We start from the raw sequence: 19,072 nt of genomic DNA, 5'->3' as shown, positions 1-19,072 counted from the left end.
AGCATGTATCACCCTAATACCAAAACCAGGAAAGGACATAACAAAAAAAGAAAACTACAGACCAATATCCCTGAGGAACATAGATGCAAAAATCCTTAACAAAATATTAGCTAACTGAATCCATCAACATATCAAAAAGATAATCCACCATGATCAAGTGGGTTTCATACCAGGGATACAGGGATGCTTTAACATACACAAGTCAATAAATGTGATACATCACATAAACAGAATTAAAAACAAAAATCTCATGATTATCTCAACAGCCACATAAAAAGCATTTGACAAAATCCAGCATCGCTTTAAGATTGAAACTCTCAGCAAAATTGGCATACAAGGGACATACCTTAATGTAATAAAAGCCATATATGACAAACCAACAGACAACATAATACTAAATGGGTAAAAGTTGAAAGCATTCCGTCTGAGAACTGGAACATGACAAGGATGCCCACTCTCACCACTTTTATTGAACATAGTACTGGAAGTCCTAGCCAGAGCAGTTAGACAAGAGAAAGAAATAAAAGGCATCCAAATCAGGAAGGAGGAAGTCAAACTGTTGCTGTTTGCTGATAATATGAATGTATACCTAGAAAACCCTAAAGACCCCTCCAAAGAGCTCCTAGAACTGATAAGTGAATTCAGCAAAGTTTCAGGATACAAAATTAATGTACCCGAATCAGTAGCTCTTCTATACACCAACAGAAACCAAGCTGAGGATCAAATCAAGAACTGAACCCCTTTTACAATAGCTGCGAAAAAAAAAATAGGAATATACCTAACCAAGGATATGAAAGACCTCTACAAGAAAAACTACAAAACACTGCTGAAAGAAATCATAGATGACACAAACAAATGGAAACGCATCCAATGCTCATGAATGGGTAGAATCAATATTGTGAAAATGACCATACTGCCAAAAGCAATCTACAAATTCAATGCAATTCCCAACAAAATGCCACCATCGTTCTTCACAGAACTAGAAAGAACAATCCTAAAATTCATATGAAACCAAAAAAGAGTGTGCATAGCCACAGCAAGACTAAGCAAAAAGAACACATCTGGAGGCATCACATTACCTGATTTCAAAGTATACTATAAGGCTACAGTCACCAAAACAGTAAGGTACTGGTATGAAAATAGGCACATAGCCCAATGGAACAGAATTGAGAACACAGAAACAAACCCAAACACTTACAGCCAACTGATCTTCAACAAAGCAAACAAAAAACTTAAAGTGGGGAAAGGGCACCCTATTCAACAAATGGTGCTGGAATAATTGGCTAGCCACATGTAGGAGAATGAAACTAGATCCTCATCTCTCACTTTATACAAAAATCAACTCAAGATGGAATGAGGCTTAAATCTAAGACCTGAAACTTTATAGTTTTATAAATTCTAGAAGATAACATTGGAAAAACCCTTCTAGACATTGGCTTAGGCAAGGATTTCATGACGAAGAGTCCAAAAGCAAATGCAATAAAAACAAAGATAAATAGGCAGAATTTAATTAAACTAAAGAGCTTTTGCATGGCAAAAGGAACAGTCAGCAGAGTAAACAGACAACCCACAGAGTGGGAGAAAATCTCCACAATCTATACATCTGACAAAGGACTAATATCCAGAATCTACAATGAACTCAACAAATTAGCAAGAAAACAAACAAAAAATCCAATCAAAATTGGGCTAAGGACATGAATGGACAATTCTCAAAAGAAGATATGCAAATGGTCAACAAGCATAAGAAAAAATACTCAACATCACTAATGATCAGGGAAATGCAAATCAAAACCACAATGTGATACCATCTCGCTCCTGCAAGAATGGCCATAATCAAAAAATAAAAAAATAATAGATTTTGGCGTGGATGTGGTGAAAAGGGAACACTTCTACACTGCTGGTGGGAATGTAAACTATACAAACACTATAGAAAACAGTGGAGATTCCTTAAAGAACTAAAAGTAGAACTACCATTTGATCCAGCACTCCCACTACTGGGTATCTACCCAGAGGAAAAGAAGTCATTACATGAAAAAGATATTTGCACAAGCATGTTTATAGTTCCACAATTGCAAAAATGTGGAACTAACCCAAATTCCCATCAATCGATGAGTGGTTAAAGAAACTATGGTATATATGTATCACATCAATCAATGAGTGGATAAAGAAACTGCGGTGTATATATATATACATATATATATATACACACACACACACATATATATACACACACATATATACATATATGTATACATACATATATGTGTATGTATGTGATGGAAAACTACTCAGCGATAAAAAGGAATGAAATAATGGCATGTGCAGCAATCTAGATGGGATTGGAGAATATTGTTCTAAGTGAAGTAACTCAGGAACAGAAAACCGAACATCATATGTTTTCACTCATAGTGGTGGGAGCTAAGCTATGAGGATGTGAAGGCATAAGAATGACACAGTGGACTTTGGGGACTCAGGGGGGAAAGGTAGAAAGGCGGTGAGGGATAAAACACTACAAACTGGTTTCAATATATACTGCTTGGGTGATGGGTGCACCAAAACCTCACAAATTACTACTAAAGAACTTACTCATGTAACCAAATACCACCTGTCCCCAAAAACCTATGGAAATAAGATTAAAAGATTAAAAACAACAACAAGAGGGCTATCAGTTGGCAGCACTTGCAGTAGCTGGGGGATAAGTCCTTCAGTCCTGAAGGAGCATCTGGGCAGCTCATCACAGAATCTACAATGGTCCATCTTTTGTGCCACTCAAATCCACTTCTTATAGGTTCTGGAAGCAGCTCCTCCCCATGACTGCTTCATTTTCCATTTACTGTCAAAATTGACTAAATGGGTACCAAGGGACACCCAAGTAAATTACCTGGTGCCAAAGGCACTCCTCCCTGCCCCTGACTGACAGCAGCCGTACCTCCTCCCTGCTGATTAGGGTCACTTACCCCTGCCAGGGTAGTGAGCCACTTCTTGATTTCTGGCCCCTTGGCACAAAAAACCCAAAGTGCCCTGGTGGCAGCTGCAGCTTAGAATTCAATGGGACTCCCTGTGATCTCTGGGAGGACTTCCCCTTTAGAGAACTAGGACTTCTAAACACACAGAGCTCAGTGCTTCAGAAATGGAAGCAAGAACTCCCCAAGAAGGTCACAGAGTGATGGTATGTGGAGCTTTCTAGACCCACGTATTCTACCCACAGGGGATGCAACCCCTTCAAAGGGGAACCTGGGATGCACAGATGAGATTCTGCACACACAACTCAAGACTGGAGCAGCAATAGTTTAACTAACATCATTTAATGTGTATCACAACATTTTTGGGAAAGGTTCCTCTGGGAGCACAATACACTGTCCTAAGTAGGACTCTGAAGTCATCTTGTATTCTGAAAAGGTGCAGGTGTGCTCCCTGCTCAGGTGACATTGAGCTGCAAGCTTCTCCATGGTTTATACCTTTTTCTACATACTTCTATGGCTTCCTATTGTACACACTCATTCCCTCTCTCTCTTTCACACACGCACACACACACACACACGCACACGCTCACAAACACACACTAGCAATGGAGTAGAGTTTGACCCCAGCCTGCTACCTAGGGTTGAGACTTCCGTTTGAGCCCCAGCCCCTCTCCGGGGGTTGCTCTACCCTGAGCAAACCCAGGCCATTCCTTAGGGTGTCGAGAAAGCAAGGAAGGGGCTGGCTGTTAGAGTCTTGAGAAAGCCATTGGAGAAGAAAACACAACTTTCCCACTTGGTGACAAGATTTTCTGCTTTCTATTTTATTAGATGTCTCAGCTACAAGGAAAAACACAACAGGCCTTAGTTGAGTCTCATTCAGAGTAGAATTAAGAGGCCTCCTGTGTAATTTTCTTCCAGGGCCTTACAGGCTCCAGCAATGCCTCTACTTCTCTGCTTCCAGCTTCTTTTTTGCCAAAGCCCCACGGAGCAGAGGCCTCCCAGGCCCCAGCAGGAGATGACCTCAGCCTCAGCTTTCTCTTCTGAGAGGCTGCTCCTCCTGTCTCTGAGCTGTGGCCCCCTGCACTGGGCTCTGGTGGGGAAGGTGCACTTTTAAGGCTCCAGGTATTTTTAATCACTGTGTGTTTATGGGAACAGGGCACGGGGCTCTGTGGTGATTTTTCTTTTCTTTTCCTGCATCATCTGCTGGGCAGGAGTTCCAGGCTGTATATTTATGGGAGACCCTAGTGGATTCGGAGAGGACAGTGACACACTGATCTTCCTTGGGGGCCTAGAGGCTTTTCTGCTCTTCCCAGACTGTTGCCCTGTACCCGGGACACCTTCCAGAGGGAATCACTGAGCTGTGCAAAGAAGAGGGGGACGTGGTGGCAGAGCCTCTCAAGCACTGGCTTCTAACCTGGGGGGGTCACCCCACTCCTGCAAGTATGCCCAAAATGTCTCTTGTGGCACATCTATGCCTTCCTCAACCTGGGAAACTGCTAAGCCCGGGGCTACAGAAGGAAGGATCTGAGAGACAGAGACGCCACCACAGTCCCGGCCACGTGGGATCACCCAACAAATACTCATCAAGTAAACGATACTCCTGGCTGATGTGGATGACCTGTGGCTGACTCTGTATGTGTGCTTCTTTTCATTCCAGCCCCACCTACAGCCCAGTGGCCCCCAAAGAAATGTCAGTGAGCTGCTGTGTGGGCCTTAGAAGCTGGCCTGCACTTGACTGACCTCCTCCCGCCCCAGGCCTTCGGGATGTTTTTGCAGGGTGCTTACCAGTCTGGGCACAGCCTAGAGCTGTGCCAGTAATCCTGCTGTTGGCACACAGGTGTGAAAAGAACAGAAAGCAGACATCACTGTCTGCTGATTTAATTTTTGCTCTCAGAGCAGCCAGGATTGGATCTGGAAAGCTCCTAATGGCAGGCCTGTCCCTGGAACAAGGGCAGACGCTGTGAGCTTTACAAAGGAGGCTGACAGGCTGAGACTGACAGGAACCAGCCAGTCGGGACAGAATCCACTGGGTTTGGCTTCCTTTTCTTTCTTTCCACAGGGGTGGGGGGTAGAACTCAGAAGAACTCCACTGCTGGCCCTGAGGAGCCTGAAGCCAGAATCGGAGTAGGACACAGCTGGGCATCCCTTCAGGGGAAGCTGAGCTGTGCGTCGCAATGGCCAAAAAGTGTGTGTCCTTTTTATTTATTCATGCAACAAACATTTATCATTAATTCACTCCACAAACATTTATTAAGCACTTATTGTTTGCCTATTGTGTCTCCCCTGGGGACACAAGGTGAATTGGTCAAACGCCCACAGAACTTCCCAGAACTTTTGTTCTCTGTTACCCTTCAGCAGGGGCTTGTGCCTGCCCATGAGATTATCGCGCAGAAGAAGACTTTATGGCCACCGTGTCTACTTGAGCATTGTGTAGAATTTGAACCCAGGCCCGAGGTGCCTCCAGAGATGGCCCTGGAAGACCCCAGTGAAGAGGTGTGGTCCTGTGAGCATCCTCTCGGGCAATCTTGGTTGCCCCAGGTGGGATTTTCTGATGTCCTGTGTTTAGCGGTGGAAAGGCAGACCATGCATCTGTAAGGACTGTCCATGACTTCAGACTCTCTCAGGGGCATGGGAGGAAAAGCATGGGGTCATTTCCCAGAGAGTTTGGTGAGAATGAGCTAACAAGAGTAGCAACCTCTCTATGTGGATGTGAGCTGTTGAGTCTGCAGACCAAGTCCAAGTTATTTGCAGAGGCTCGCCTAGCCCACCATGCTCCAGCTACACAGCGCTCTCCCACCCCCACCTTCCACCCAGCCAATGCGCGCAGTCCCACCCAACATCCTTCACGGCCATGGTGCTGCTTCTCTTTCCTCACAGAGGAGCTCCTAAAGCCATTAGTTTAGTTTGGCTGAGGCTAGACTAGACCAGACTGAAAAGATGGTGCTTTTTACAGCAAAAGGATCCAGACTGGGCACTTGAACACTGAAGGATCAGACTTTCCATTCCTTTCCTCTTTGGTTATCTCAGTTTACTATCCTGTTTTCTTTCATGACGTGCTTTTATTGAAAGCTAATATCGAGGGCTCACTCCATCAGGCACTGTGTTTATGTGAATTGTTTTATTTAATTTTCAAATAGTCTTGTGAAGAAGCATCAGGCAATCACATTTTACAGAAGAGGGGAATGAAGCCTGGCAAGGAGGAAGTTTGCCCAGCATCCCCAGCTAGTTACAAGATTTGACCCCTCATGGTCAGTGCTACTGCTCTTAACCAATGCACTATGCATCAACCTTTGAGGCCAGGTGATTCCACATCACACTTGTCTCATTCCTGGTCAAGGGTGAAGTTAGTCCTTGAACCAGTCATCAATTAATTCAGGATGGTGATTTTCTCTTGTCTCTTGTTTTCAAGACCCAAGGCTTGGCTTCCCCATGTCCAAGGGTAGGATCTGCCTAGTCCTATAGCTCAGAGGTCCCATTGGAGTCAGTGGGGAGTCACTAGCCTCTCCCAGGTCCACCATGCTATATGCCCCCAGAGGGGACCGTAGAGATGAAAGAGGAGGTGATGCTATAAATGCCCATAGAATCTTGCTCTATTGCTCACCCTCTGTGTGACCTTGAGCAACTTATTAGCCTCCTTAAGCCTCAGTTCCTTATCTGCGAAATATAGGTAAAATGAGAACCTTCGTTAGAGAGCTGTTAGTGAATTATATAAGGTAACTCACAGTGGGCATTTATGAGAATGTCTGACACAAAATAAACACTCAATAACTATTAGCTATTATAGGCCCATAGTCCATTACCTATAATGCTGAAGTCAAAAAAAGCTCTGAAAATTGTGCAGTTGGAAGTAAAACCTGTCCCGAAGTGTCATACAACTATATCTAGGTTTTATTTATCCCACTTAGTATAAATATGCATATGCTTCACTGCAGAAATACTAATAAGGTGCCACTCTGGACCCTACTAGGGTTGTTACATGACATACTGTATGTGTACCATATGGCCTTTCTGAAATCTGAAGAACTCTGAATGCCAAAACACTCCTGATTCCAAGAGTGAATGCCCAGTAAGAGATTGTGAACCTGTATTACTTTTGAGAGTAGAGCCAGTAAGTCCCCTGATGGAGTTACAGTAGCATTGACTGTCAACTCTGGAACTGCGAGAGCCAAAACCCTGGAAGGAATAGGATTAACTCCCTTCTCTCCTATAAGAAACTGCAGGCTGCTGCTTAAGGGCAGAAAGAACGAGAGGTAATGAAGTCAGCTGGAAAAATATATCTCCTTGTTCACTTGCTCATATGATCACTGAGGGATTTCTGTAGGGGGTCTGAACCTGGGTGAGAAAAATCTTTAAGGACCATCTCAATTTCAAGATCTCAGGAAAGGTGGTGATCCTCTTACTTCCTGCTTGATCAGCATGTTGCTAGGCTGGGCCAGGGAAAAGGGAGCAGAGCAGTTGTCCTCCCTCAAGGAATATGGACTTTCATTAAGGATACAAGATATGCATGCCTGAAACAAGTAGTGATATGTTAGAAGATTAGATCAGGTTAATTAGAATATATTAGAAGATTATGAAATTAATGTTCAAGTGAGTAACAAAGCTGGTATGCACCATAGGAGTTCAGAAAAGGGATACCAAATGTCAGGGAGCTAGTCTAAGGCCAGCTAATTCTTACAGAGAAGAACCCAAGGAATGGATAAGGAAGGAGAGGAGAGAGGGAATTGAGGATGGAGTGGAAGGAGAAATAGGGACTTTGTGGTCTAAACTCCACATAAGGTATGGGCAATTTGGATAACCCTTCTGAGCCTCAGTTTTCCCATTTCAAACATGGAGACAGTTATAGCTCTCTCTAGCTATGATCATTATAAATATTTTTTAAAATGTAAAGTGTTACCAGAACATTCATTCTTTTTTGGTAGCCATAGCCCCTGCAATTTGACTCTCAGAAACTGAGTTTTTGTTGATTCCATGATGCCTGTTGACCTTGAACTGGGTAGTTTACAGCCAAGCTCAAAGGTGTATGTTTGACAAAGGCATAGAAATCAGGAGGAAAAACAAATAATTATTCAACTAGCCAGAACCCCAAACAAATAACCCCCTTCACCCACAGCAACACTTGACAACTCTTTACATTACATTCAGCCACTTTCGTTATTCTAATTAAGCTGATCCTCCATCCAGCTGCAGAGAGAGAAAGCCAGCCTGCCCGTGGGACCTTTACCCCTAAGTCAGAGATGTTTGTTCTTAGGAGATCTCATTTTATCTTCTTCTTAGGACCTCTTGGCCTGTTATAGCACACAGAACCACCCCATGGATGACTTCCTGATGGATGATGATTGTCCTGATATCTTGGCTCCGATGGCATTGTGCAGCCTCAGCAGGTCACACAGATACTAAAACCATGCAAATCCTACATGTCAATGAGGGGAGAGGCGAAGGGGAAATTGTAAAACAAAAGGGAGCAGAGGTTATCACTGGTAGAAACACAGAGTGAGAGAAGGCTGCATGCTATTTAATGCAAAGGAAAAGTGGAAGAAATAGTCACCGGAGCAGAGTTAACACCAGAGCCCACTCTCTAAGCAGAGAGCTCAGGAAAGCCATCTAAATTCTGATGGGAAACATCCTTACCTCAATATAAAACACCTAATAGAGCTGGGACAAATAAGGTTCTTGACAAATAGATGTTACTTGTAGTAGGAGCAGGGGTTTGGTAACATCGTCATCATCATCATCATCCCCCATCACAGAGGACAAGAGTTCATGAAGATCATCTCTTCTCTGAAGGCTGGGGTCAGGAAGAGCCTATCTGCTCCAGTGACAGTGAGAGAGGAGCCTGGCCACAGCAGAGGCCAGGCCTGGCAGTTTCCATGTGGAGGTTGGAAGAATTTGAACATCAAACTGAGCCTTCATCTACAGTCACTGGGGTGACATTGGGCATTGTTGAGAGAACAAACATTGTGATTAAAAATGACACAAAGGGAGCCCTGTAGTGATAGACGATTGTGAGTGTTTAAATGAAGAAGGGGAGGGGTCAAGAAGACTAATCGGAAAAAAAAATGAAGTGCTACGTCCTGATGACAACTTTGTTTTGTTTTGTTCAAATTGCTTTTATTACTTATCAATGGCAGTTTCTTATAAAATTTGAGATGACATTCACAATTCAGTGGCCTTTAATACATTCATAATGTTGTTCGACTACCACCTCTATCTAGTTCAAAACATTGTCATCAGTCAGTAAAACCTCTACTCACTAAGCAGTCCCCTCCCCACCATCCCATCTCCCTCCAGCCCCCGAGACACCATCCAATTTGTCTTCTGTCTGTATGGACTTATCTATTCTGGATATTGCATACAAAGGGAATCATATGATATGTGACCTTTTGTATCTGGCTTCTTTCACTTAGTATGATGTTTTTGAGGTCCATCCACCTTGTAGCAGGCATCATTACTTCATTACTTTTTATGGCTGAATAATGTTCCATTGTGTGGATGTACCACTTTTTGTTTATTTGTTGGTGGATATTTGAACTGTTTTCACATTATGGCTATTGCCAATAGTCAGTATGAACATGTGTGTACATCATGGAGGAATTTCTTATGGCTCTCTGAGTGGGATGGTTATTTTTGCTATGATTACACCCTGTAAAAGCAACTGCCCTCCTAAACAGACAGATGCTTCTTCCAGGGGAAAGAACTCCTGGAGGCTGCCAGTATCCAGCTGAAGGTCCTGATGACCTCTTAAAGATGACTTTAAGTGGCTTTAAATGTCTTTATGCATCCTTTGCTTGGATGCCAGGGCCAACCAAACTTTCTCACATAACACTTAAAAAGTTAGAGTCCCAATTTTTGTTCCTGGTGAGCCATAGACATCCATAGGCAAGAGGATAAAGATTGGATTACCTTCCTTCTGGGAAAGTAGCTCTAATTCAGCTCATGTGGCCTGTGAGAGGCAGTGTGGTCTGGTGGAAAACATCCCTGATTGGAGTCAGAAGACAGACGGATGTTTAAGAGATGGCTCTGCCACTCCCAGGCTGTGTAGCAGCTGAGTAGCTCTGAACCCCAGCTTCCTCATTTTTCAAGAGGTGCTGTGATTGCTGCTTGCCTTTCTCACTGAGTTGTTAAAAGGCTGAAGGAGTTGTCATATGTGGGAGTGAATCTTAAACAGTCAAGGATCACACATTTGTGCTATGACTATTACTCCCCTGTTAGGAGACATGCAGGGTGACAATTGTGACTCACCATCAGTAGACTTTGTGTTAGTCACAGTGCATTACTTGCAAGTATTAAAAAAATGGAGACCTATCAGAAGGCTACTGTGTCACCCATAGAATTGAAGGAGAAATGAATAATCAGGCCCCAAAGGGCAGGAACCAGACAAGGTCTGGGGCTTCGGGGAGCAGGGGCTGACTGTTGGGGTGAATGAGAGGTGGCCATTTTTCTGTCTTTGCTTTGCTGCACTCAATGTTCAAAATCCCAGGAAAGGGTCTGATTGATGGACTGCTTGCCTAGGGGAGGACAAAGTCCTTGACTGACAATTCCACCAGGTTGCACCACAGGGGAAGAGGTGATTCTCCAAATAAAAATCAGGGAGCTATTAATAGGAGAAAGGGGGAATAGATTCTGGGAGGCCCCCAAACTGTCCACCAAAAATGTACTCTTTGAGCTGCTCATGCAGAAGCAAGCACAGATTGGGACTCCCGAGCCAATGGCTCTGGGGCTACCCTCAAGCTGAGCGCAACTTGGAATGACTAGGGATTTGGGGTGCAGTTTGGAGCCTGCTACCTGCATGCCGGTGCAAGGTGCTTCCGTTAAACACCATGCACAATGTGTGTGATCCAAGATCTCAGGCTTGAGAAATCTGAACCAAACTGCATCTGGCTACTAAAAATATCCAGGCTCCAGGGAGGCAGCAGAGAGAACTTTTCCAAAGCCAGCTGAGGCCTTCGATGTATGTAGGAAATTATTAATCATGCCCTGTGATTCTTCTTGGTATGAGCTGGCTTCACACTTTAAAAATAAATAAATATGAACCGAGGCCCATCCAACCCCTCCTTTCTTTAACTATCCATCTCGGAAATAGTTGGTAACCCCCACTGCCCATGCCCCCTGGGTGTAGGCTGCCCTGCTCCCTGGAAAACAGGAATTTCTTATCAGATCAACAGGAAATTCTATTTTTACTTGATGTTAGAATTAAAAATATCACAGGGAGAGAGAGAGACCTCTCGTATCCAAGCCTTGCACTAAATTTATCCCCCAACTGAGGAGCTCTCCTTCCAAATAGTTGCTCCCAGGGTTCTCTCCCTCCGAGACTGGCCCCAGATGGCAAGAGAGACAAAGATCTTTGACACGCCAACTTGGTTTTCTTTCTAACCCCAGGTCACAGTATTGCTGTGGAGACCACCTAGGGAACTTGTAGAATGCTTCACGGCAAGTCACAGTTGAGCCTAGACAGTGGCTCCAGAGGCATTCACTAAGAAGCAGAGACAGCTCAGGTTAGAAGCACTGTAACACTCACTAAGAGCCCTGGCTAAAAGTGGTGCCTAAGTTGAGTGACTCCATTTTCAAAAGCAAGCAAGAAGAGTGAAGCAAAGTTTACTGATGCCAGACTGTGTGTTAGGTACTTACTAGCATGGGTCAGGCCATTCAATCTTTCCAGCAGCCCCCAAATAGAAGTAACAGCAGCAGCTGCTGCATCTTTCCAGTTTACAGAGGAGAAAGCACAGGCTGAAGAAGGTTTCTGGGATTAGAATTAGAACTGGGTCAACTTGATTCCAGAGCTCATGCTCTTTTCTCTTTACCATCAGTATTTTTTTCAACATCTTGAGGCAGGTCAGAAGCTAAGCTAATGAATCCAGCAGCTGCTAGTGTAGGCACTACCAGCTGGATGACTGGCAGCCTCCAGGACTCCTTTCTCCTGTAAGAAGCATCTATCCAGAAGGGCAGCTGATTTCACAGAGTTGTAATCATAGCACAAATAACTACCCTACTTAGAGAACTACAAGAAATTCCTCAATGCCCAGTTTGCTTAACTTGCAAGTTGTATGACTCTTTCTTGTAACCCTGCTAATATATCCTTAGCTTCTTGTCTGAGATGTGTGTAAACCAGTTAAATAGGAGAGTTATCTGACCTCCCTTGCAGGATATGTGACAGGGGTTTGGCTCATCTGTCACCACCTCTGCTCAAACCCCTTATGGGAAGGGGAGCACACAGATGGACAGGTGCAGGAGCCAGGGTGCTAGGCTCTGGCCCCATGGCAGTGTCCAGGGGTGGGAGCCTGTGACTCCTAGAGCCCAAGTGGGCATGTGTTACAGTGTGCTCTTTTAGCCTTCCCATCTGTGGATTGCTTAAGTGTTAACAAGCTCACTGGACCCTCTGGTTTTTTTTGCAAGGGCAGAGGGCCAGTGTGACAGCTTTCTGTATCCCAAGCTCTTGTCCAGCATCCTGGAAGAATCGGGTTACACACGGACTTGAAGGATAGTGAACGCAGGGGTTTTGGTGGGTGGTGGAGGTGGATCTCAGCAGGATGGATGCAGAGCTGAAAAGGGGATGGAGTGGGAAGATGATCTTCCCCTGGAGTTTGGCCATCCAGCGGCTGATACTCTGACCATCCTTAGTGGAACTCCTCCTGACGTTCCTTCTCTTCTGTCCTTCTCTGCTGCTCTTCTGCTCTTCTGTTCATCTGCTTGTCTGCTCGTCTGCTTCTGGAGCCTGGGGTCTGGGGTTTATATGAGTACAGGATAGGGGGCTTGGCAGGTGAAAAGGCAAGTTTTTGGGTGCAAAACCAGGAATGCCTGTTCCCATTTAGGGCCATGGGTATCCAGGCTTGAGGCTGAGGATTTTGACGCTCTTCTACTCAGTATTTCCCTGTCTCCTGTCCATATCACCAGCACCTTATTTACTTACTGAGTGTTTTGTATTGTTTATTTTCTTTTAATGGTGCAACTAAAAGAGTATTGCAGGATATCTGGGCTTTAACCCTGGCTCTGAAGCTGAGACTTTATGAAATTAACTTCTCATCTCAGGGCCTCAGTTTTCTCATCTGTACTAATAACAAGCTGAGTCCTCATATGGCAAAAAGTGGGGCTAGAGATCTCTCTGGGTCCCCTTTTATAAGGGCATTAATCTCGTTCATGAGGGCTCTGCCCTCATGACCTAATTACCTCCCAAAGGCCCTACCTCCAAATACTACCATATTGGGGATTAGCATTTCAACAGAAGATTTTTTGGGAGACACATTTAGTCCATAACAGCACCTATTATAAATGCCACAGACCCCTGACCTCTCTGCCACCAATAAAAGGAAGAGGGTGCCCACCTTCTGAGATCCTTCCTGCTGTGGGGTTGATCATCCCTTTAAGGAAGCCAGGTATTTGGCTAATGGCTGAGAGGCAGCTTCAACTTTTGGCACCATGTCCAGGAGTGAGAGATGGCCTGTCACATTTTAAAACTTTGATGTATTTGTTAACTTCCAAAGAATTGGTCTATTCATGCAGAAGCAGTATAAGGAAAGGAGATCAAAAGACAAAAAAAGGAATTGGAGCATGTCATAGACAGAAACCCAGTGACTCAGGTCGAAAGGCTGACAGCTCTCAGAATACTCAAGAATTGGGGCCAGATAAAAACCAAAAAGCTAACACACTCTCAAACAAGCTCACACCTCTCATTGTAAGGGTACACTGTATTGCCAAAGGCAAGGTACTTGTGGAGCCAGTTAAGGACTCTGAATGCTAATTGCATGGATAACAGCTAAAGCCAGGGCCTGGATAGATGAGTCAAGTATGAACTCAGATGCCTGAGAGCAACAGAAGGAGGAACTTGGAGGTATGAAAGTTGGTTCAAGAGTGGGTCACTGTACTCAATCTGGCCTTTGCCTCCCCTGTAGAAGGCAGTATAATATCCCATGAGAAAGATGGCATATTGAAACCTCCTTTGCAAAAATTATAACAGAAAATTCTGGCATTGTGGGGGAGATCTGATCTAGCCAATCCTCTTCTTGCCTTTAGCCTTCCAGCTGCCAAGCTAGCTTTGGGAGACATGTAGGTTGTAGTTTTAATGATAATAGCCCTTCCACAAACCTCAACTGCCTTAGTAAAGCTAATGAGAGACCACTAGGCTAAGAGGAAGAGAGGAGCCTGAATTTTGCTAAGGTATAGACATAAACAATTGCCAGCCATTATTTAACAAGTTACAAGATATGCCACTTTCCAAATTACTCCTACAGATGACATCTCCTTTGTGGAACCTAAGATTGGCCTTTCAAGATACGTTTTCAGGTGTTTTGCATGTCTCACATCCATAGCTCCACTTGGACCCACTGATCAATGGCTCCTGTGGCATCATGTAGAAGTGAATCAGCACACAGAAGGACAATTTTCCACACCCCTATGATTGCACCCCAACCGATCAGCAGCAAACACCATTCCCTAACCACCCCCAGCCCTTCCCCCAAACTGTCTTTGAAAAACCCCTAACCTAGGAGCCTTCGATGAGATTGATTTGAATAATAACTCCATCTTCTGCATAGCGTGGCTGGCCTTGCATCAATTAAGCTCTTTCTCTACTGCAATGCCATGGTCTATTGTGTGCAGCAGGAAGGAAGAACCCACCAGGTGGTTACAGTGTGCCTATCAGACTGCTAGTTGATCATCTCTACACCATGAGTGCCTGGTATGCAAGGTACCATAATGAGTACTGGGGGAAGATCATGCATAGAGAAGGGTACATAGCAAGACAGCCTAGAAGAGATTTTTGTCCCACATTCTCGTTTTATAGAAGTGAGGAAACTGAGACCTGAGAGCAGGAGTGACTTACTCAGGATCACATAGCTCGGCAGTGGTAAGCAGGGCCAGGATCCGGGGCTCTTGTAGTTAGGTTCTTGCCTCAACAATCCTACAGAATGGTGAAACTCCCTTTGCAAAATTATAACTGAGGAAATCAAGACAGTGAAAGAAATCAGAACTAACTGACTCTATCTTGCTTCTCATCCTTAAGCTGTCCTTGTTCATTCCTGGATGTAGGCCGAACTAACTTTGGGAAGGAATTCAGTTATTAGTTTGACTCTGAAACAAAATTGATAACAGCCCTTTCCCAAAAAGACCCCCTTCTTGTCTCGGGCCCAAGAATGGCCCCCTTCTTGTCTTTGCTGGACTAACAAATTAGCTACAAGATTAGAAATTACAATTTAGGGGTCATGCAGCCTCTGGCTCCAGGAGTCTGAACCTCTCCAACTTGCTTCTGGGGGTAAACATCACAACCTAAGATCAGTGCTTGAGATATTTTGCAGATCCTGCACTTGATGGATCAGCTGACACCACCCAGACCAGTAATCTGGCTCAACCAGCTCTGTGATCCCATTCAGAAATCAGCAAGAAGAACTCACTTCGACCCCCTATGATGTTATCGTAAGCCTGACCAATCAGCACTCCACACTTTCCGAGCCCATACCAGCCAAATAATCTTTAAAAATTCTGATCCCCGAATACTCAGGGAGACTGATTTGAGTAATAATAAAAATCCAGTCTCCTGCCCAGCTGGCTCTGCATGAATTACTCTTTTGCCATTGTAATTCCCCTCTCTTGATACATCAGCTCTATCTAGGCAGCGGGCAAGGTGAACCCATTGGGCAGTTACAATGGTGTCATAAAAGAGGTGTGGGCCTGAATATTAGGAGAACCTGATTCTAGAATTAGGTCAGCTACTTACCATGTGACCTTGGGGACTTCATTTCACCTCCTTTAAGCCTCAGTTTTCCCATCTGTAAAACAGGGGATGGGACTAGATGGTCTCTTTGGTCTCATGTTTCAATAGTCAGGATAGGCTAGATTTTGCTGTGATAACAAAGAACCCCCAAATCTCAGTGGCTTAAGAAGCAAATCTTTTTTTTTATTTTTGTAAATTATTTATGATTTAGAAGGATTATCTTCAAATCAGTAGAAATATTTCATAAATAATATCTGGCCATTTTCTAACCAATTGAGGAATTTGTTGCATAATAAGCCACCTTACATCTTTCAGCAAGAAAAGCATTAAATCTGAATAGTAAAGACATTATAAGGCCAGATGCGATGGCTCATGCCTGTAATGCCAACACTTTGGGAGGCCAAAGCTGGCAGATCACTTGAGCTCAGGAGTTCAGCCTGGGCAACGTGGAGAGATCCCATCTCTACAGAAAAATAAAAATTTAGCCAGGCATGATGGTGCACACCTGCAGTCCCAGTAACTAGGGAGGCTGAGTAGGAGGATCACTTGAACATGGGAGGTCGAGGCTGCAGTAAGCCGTGATCACACCACTGTACCCCAGCCAGAGTCACAGAGCAAGACCTTGACTCAAAAAAAAAAAAAAAAAAAAAAAAAAAGACATTACACAATGAATTAGGACACGATAAAAATTTGCTTTAAACATTTCTTTGGGGGAGGGGACACCAACGCTTCTACTCAATGAAGAGAAACATTTTTACAGTCCAGAGGGGTTTAATTTTTTGCACCTATTATGCCATGAATCCATAAGAAAGAGGTTCTAGCAGCTCAGGCTCCTTCTCATTGGTTCTCACAAAGTGTGCTTCTCTAGTGGAGCAGGCTGGCACTTCAGCTGAATCCAGGTAACTTTCTCTTTGGCTTCCTTGTTTTTCTGACCATTTTTCTTCACATGCTTCAAGAAGCTATCTTGGCTCTCAGAGTGCTTAATGTGCTCAATATGCACATTGGTTCTCTTGGCAAGAATCTTGGCCTTAACTTGTTTATTTATAATAATGCCAACAACACGCTGGGTGGCATTGTAGGTTCTTCCAGTATTGCCATGGTAACACTTGTAGGGCCTTCCTTTCTGAACAGTACCCATTTCCTTGATGTCTATAATATGGCCTTTCTTATAGATTTGCTTGTATGTGGCCAAAGGAACAACTCTGTTTTCTCTTTTTCTGAGATGGAGTTTCACTCTTGTTGCCCAGGCTGGAGTGCAATGGTGTGATCTTGGCTCACCGCAACCTCCATCTACCGGGTTCAAGTGATTTTCCTGCCTCAGCCTCCCGAGTAGCTGGGATTACAGGCATGCAGGCATGCGCCACCACGCCCAGCTAATTTTGTATTTTTAGTAGAGACGGGGTTTCTCCATGTTGGTCAGGCTAGCCTCAAACTCTCCACCTCAGGTGATTCGCCCACCTAGGCCTCCCAAAGTGCTGGAATTGCAGGCATGAGCTACCACACCCAGCCAACAGCTCTGTTTTCTAAAAGACCTAGAGAACATGTGTCGGGTGCCTCTCTTCTTTCCCTTTGTGTTCATTATTTTGGCAAATTACTGGAAGATGGCAGTTCCAGCCAACAGGGCAAAGGCCTCTTTTTCATTCACATCCTATGATCCTGTGGGTTGGCAGGACCCAGGCTGATGGAAGCTCAGCTTCCATCATGTATTTCATGCGGAAGAAAATATAATAAAGTGTATACTGGCCTTTAAAGCTTTTGGCCAGAAATGACATGTGTCACTTCCACATATATTTTGTTGACCAAAGCAAGTCACGAGGTCATCTACCATGCACCCAGAAGACCCTAGAAATAATTGACAACAATCCTGCCTCCCATATGGTGCAAAGAGCTATGTGGATCAGTGAGGGTGGGGGTGGGGGTGGTGGGAGACACTTGCCCCAGTGAACTTCATGGAAAGACTTCATAAAGGCTCCACTCTGAGAGGTGGAGATCAGAAAACACTGAATCTAGAAGGGGTGGCAGGAGCAGAAGCAGAAGTGCCACAAACGTCAAGAATGCAAACTTAATGGGGAACTGCCTAGTGCCTAGATGCGCTGAAGTACAAGTGCACTAGGGGAGAATAAGAAGCGAGACATCTGACACCAGGTCATGCAGGGCCTTAAAGGCAATCAAAGGCCTTGAAGGGGTGTTTAGCTTATTTGCATTTGCTAGGCCCTGAATTTTTTTTTTTTTTTTTTTTTTTGAGACGGAGTCTCCCTCTGTCATCCAGGCTGGAGTCCAGTAACTGATCTCGGCTCACTGTAACCTCTGCCCGCCAGGTTCAAGTGATTCTCCTGCCTCAGCCTCCCAAGTAGCTGGAACTACAGGTGTGCACCACCATGCCCGGCTAATTTTTGTACTTTTAGTAGAGACGGGGTTTCACAATGTCGCCCAGGCTTGACTCAAATTTCTGAGCTCAAGTTGTCCGCCTGCCTCAGCCTCCAAAAGCATTGGGATTACAAGCCTGAGCCACCGCACCTGACCAGGCCCTGAAATTTCTGAGCTGGTTTGTGAGCTTATCAAGCAGTGTGTGGGATGGCACCAGCAGCTGTAGAGATGAGGTGAGGAGAGTACAAAGGAGTATGCAGACCAGGAGGCCACTGCTATCCTTTGGGGAGAGGTGACAAGGCTTCAAGGCCTGATGCTTTATTTTAGGGCAGGTGCAGCAGGGGAAATAGAACAAATGCAAGAGTAACTACATGGGAAAGAACCTAGCACAGGTCTTGGTGCCTTTGACATGTGGCCTGAATTTGGTGACCAGTTGATGGTATCTAAAGAGGAGGAGGGAAGAATGAAGACAAGCTGGAAGATTTGAGTCCGCATGCCTGGAAAAAAGGGGTGCTATCTGCAGAAAGCAGGGAGTCAGGATGGGGAGCTGGTTTGAGATGAGGGGTGTGGGGAGGAGTGCTGAGTTCTAAAGGTGACCATTGAGTTTCTTCATTCCCTCCTCTCTTCATGGGAGGGTGGAGAAGAGGAGAATGGATTGCTGGAGTGTGTAGTTGGGTTGAAGCAGTCCTTCTGGATATGAAATTCAAGCCAGCGTCCCCAAAACCACTAGGGAGACTGTGGTAGGCCAGGTCTCACTAAGGCAGGCCTCCATAACAACTGTTTCAGCACTGACTGAGTGGTTAAGTTAAATATTAAAATCTGAAAGCGCCAGTGCCCTATTACAAAGGCTAGAATGTAACAAAAGCCCACCAAGAATTTTGCCTAGGCCTTTCCTGGGCCTTGAAGGATGACAAGATAATGAAGGAGTTCTTAACAGAGCCCTCTTAGAATTAGACAAGTTTTTTGGGGGGTCTGAAGAAACTCCCCAGGCCTCCACAAACAAATTTATGGGGGTCTGAAGGAACTCCCCAAACCTCCATGA

The 19,072-nt window shown here is 44.6% G+C and overlaps 1 long non-coding RNA gene and 1 pseudogene across 2 annotated transcripts; one reads left to right on the top strand and one right to left on the bottom strand.

Moving 5' to 3' along the window:
- The first annotated feature begins 2,653 nt into the window (after nucleotides 1-2,653).
- On the top strand, nucleotides 2,654-9,122 carry LOC124907751 (uncharacterized). 2 transcript variants are annotated; one of them, XR_007086272.1, is made up of 2 exons: nucleotides 2,654-5,456; nucleotides 8,238-9,122. It is a non-coding gene; the product is annotated as an uncharacterized LOC124907751 (long non-coding RNA). The 2 variants fall into 2 exon arrangements; XR_007086271.1 differs by having other exon boundaries at nucleotides 2,654-5,501.
- RPL21P70 (ribosomal protein L21 pseudogene 70) lies at nucleotides 16,422-16,874 on the bottom strand (annotated as a pseudogene).

The sequence above is a fragment of the Homo sapiens genome, chromosome 2 (genome assembly GCF_000001405.40).
Source record: "Homo sapiens chromosome 2, GRCh38.p14 Primary Assembly".
Lineage (NCBI taxonomy): Eukaryota > Metazoa > Chordata > Mammalia > Primates > Hominidae > Homo > Homo sapiens.
Note: the sequence above shows the minus strand (reverse complement) of the source record. Positions and strands in the feature narration are given on the sequence as shown.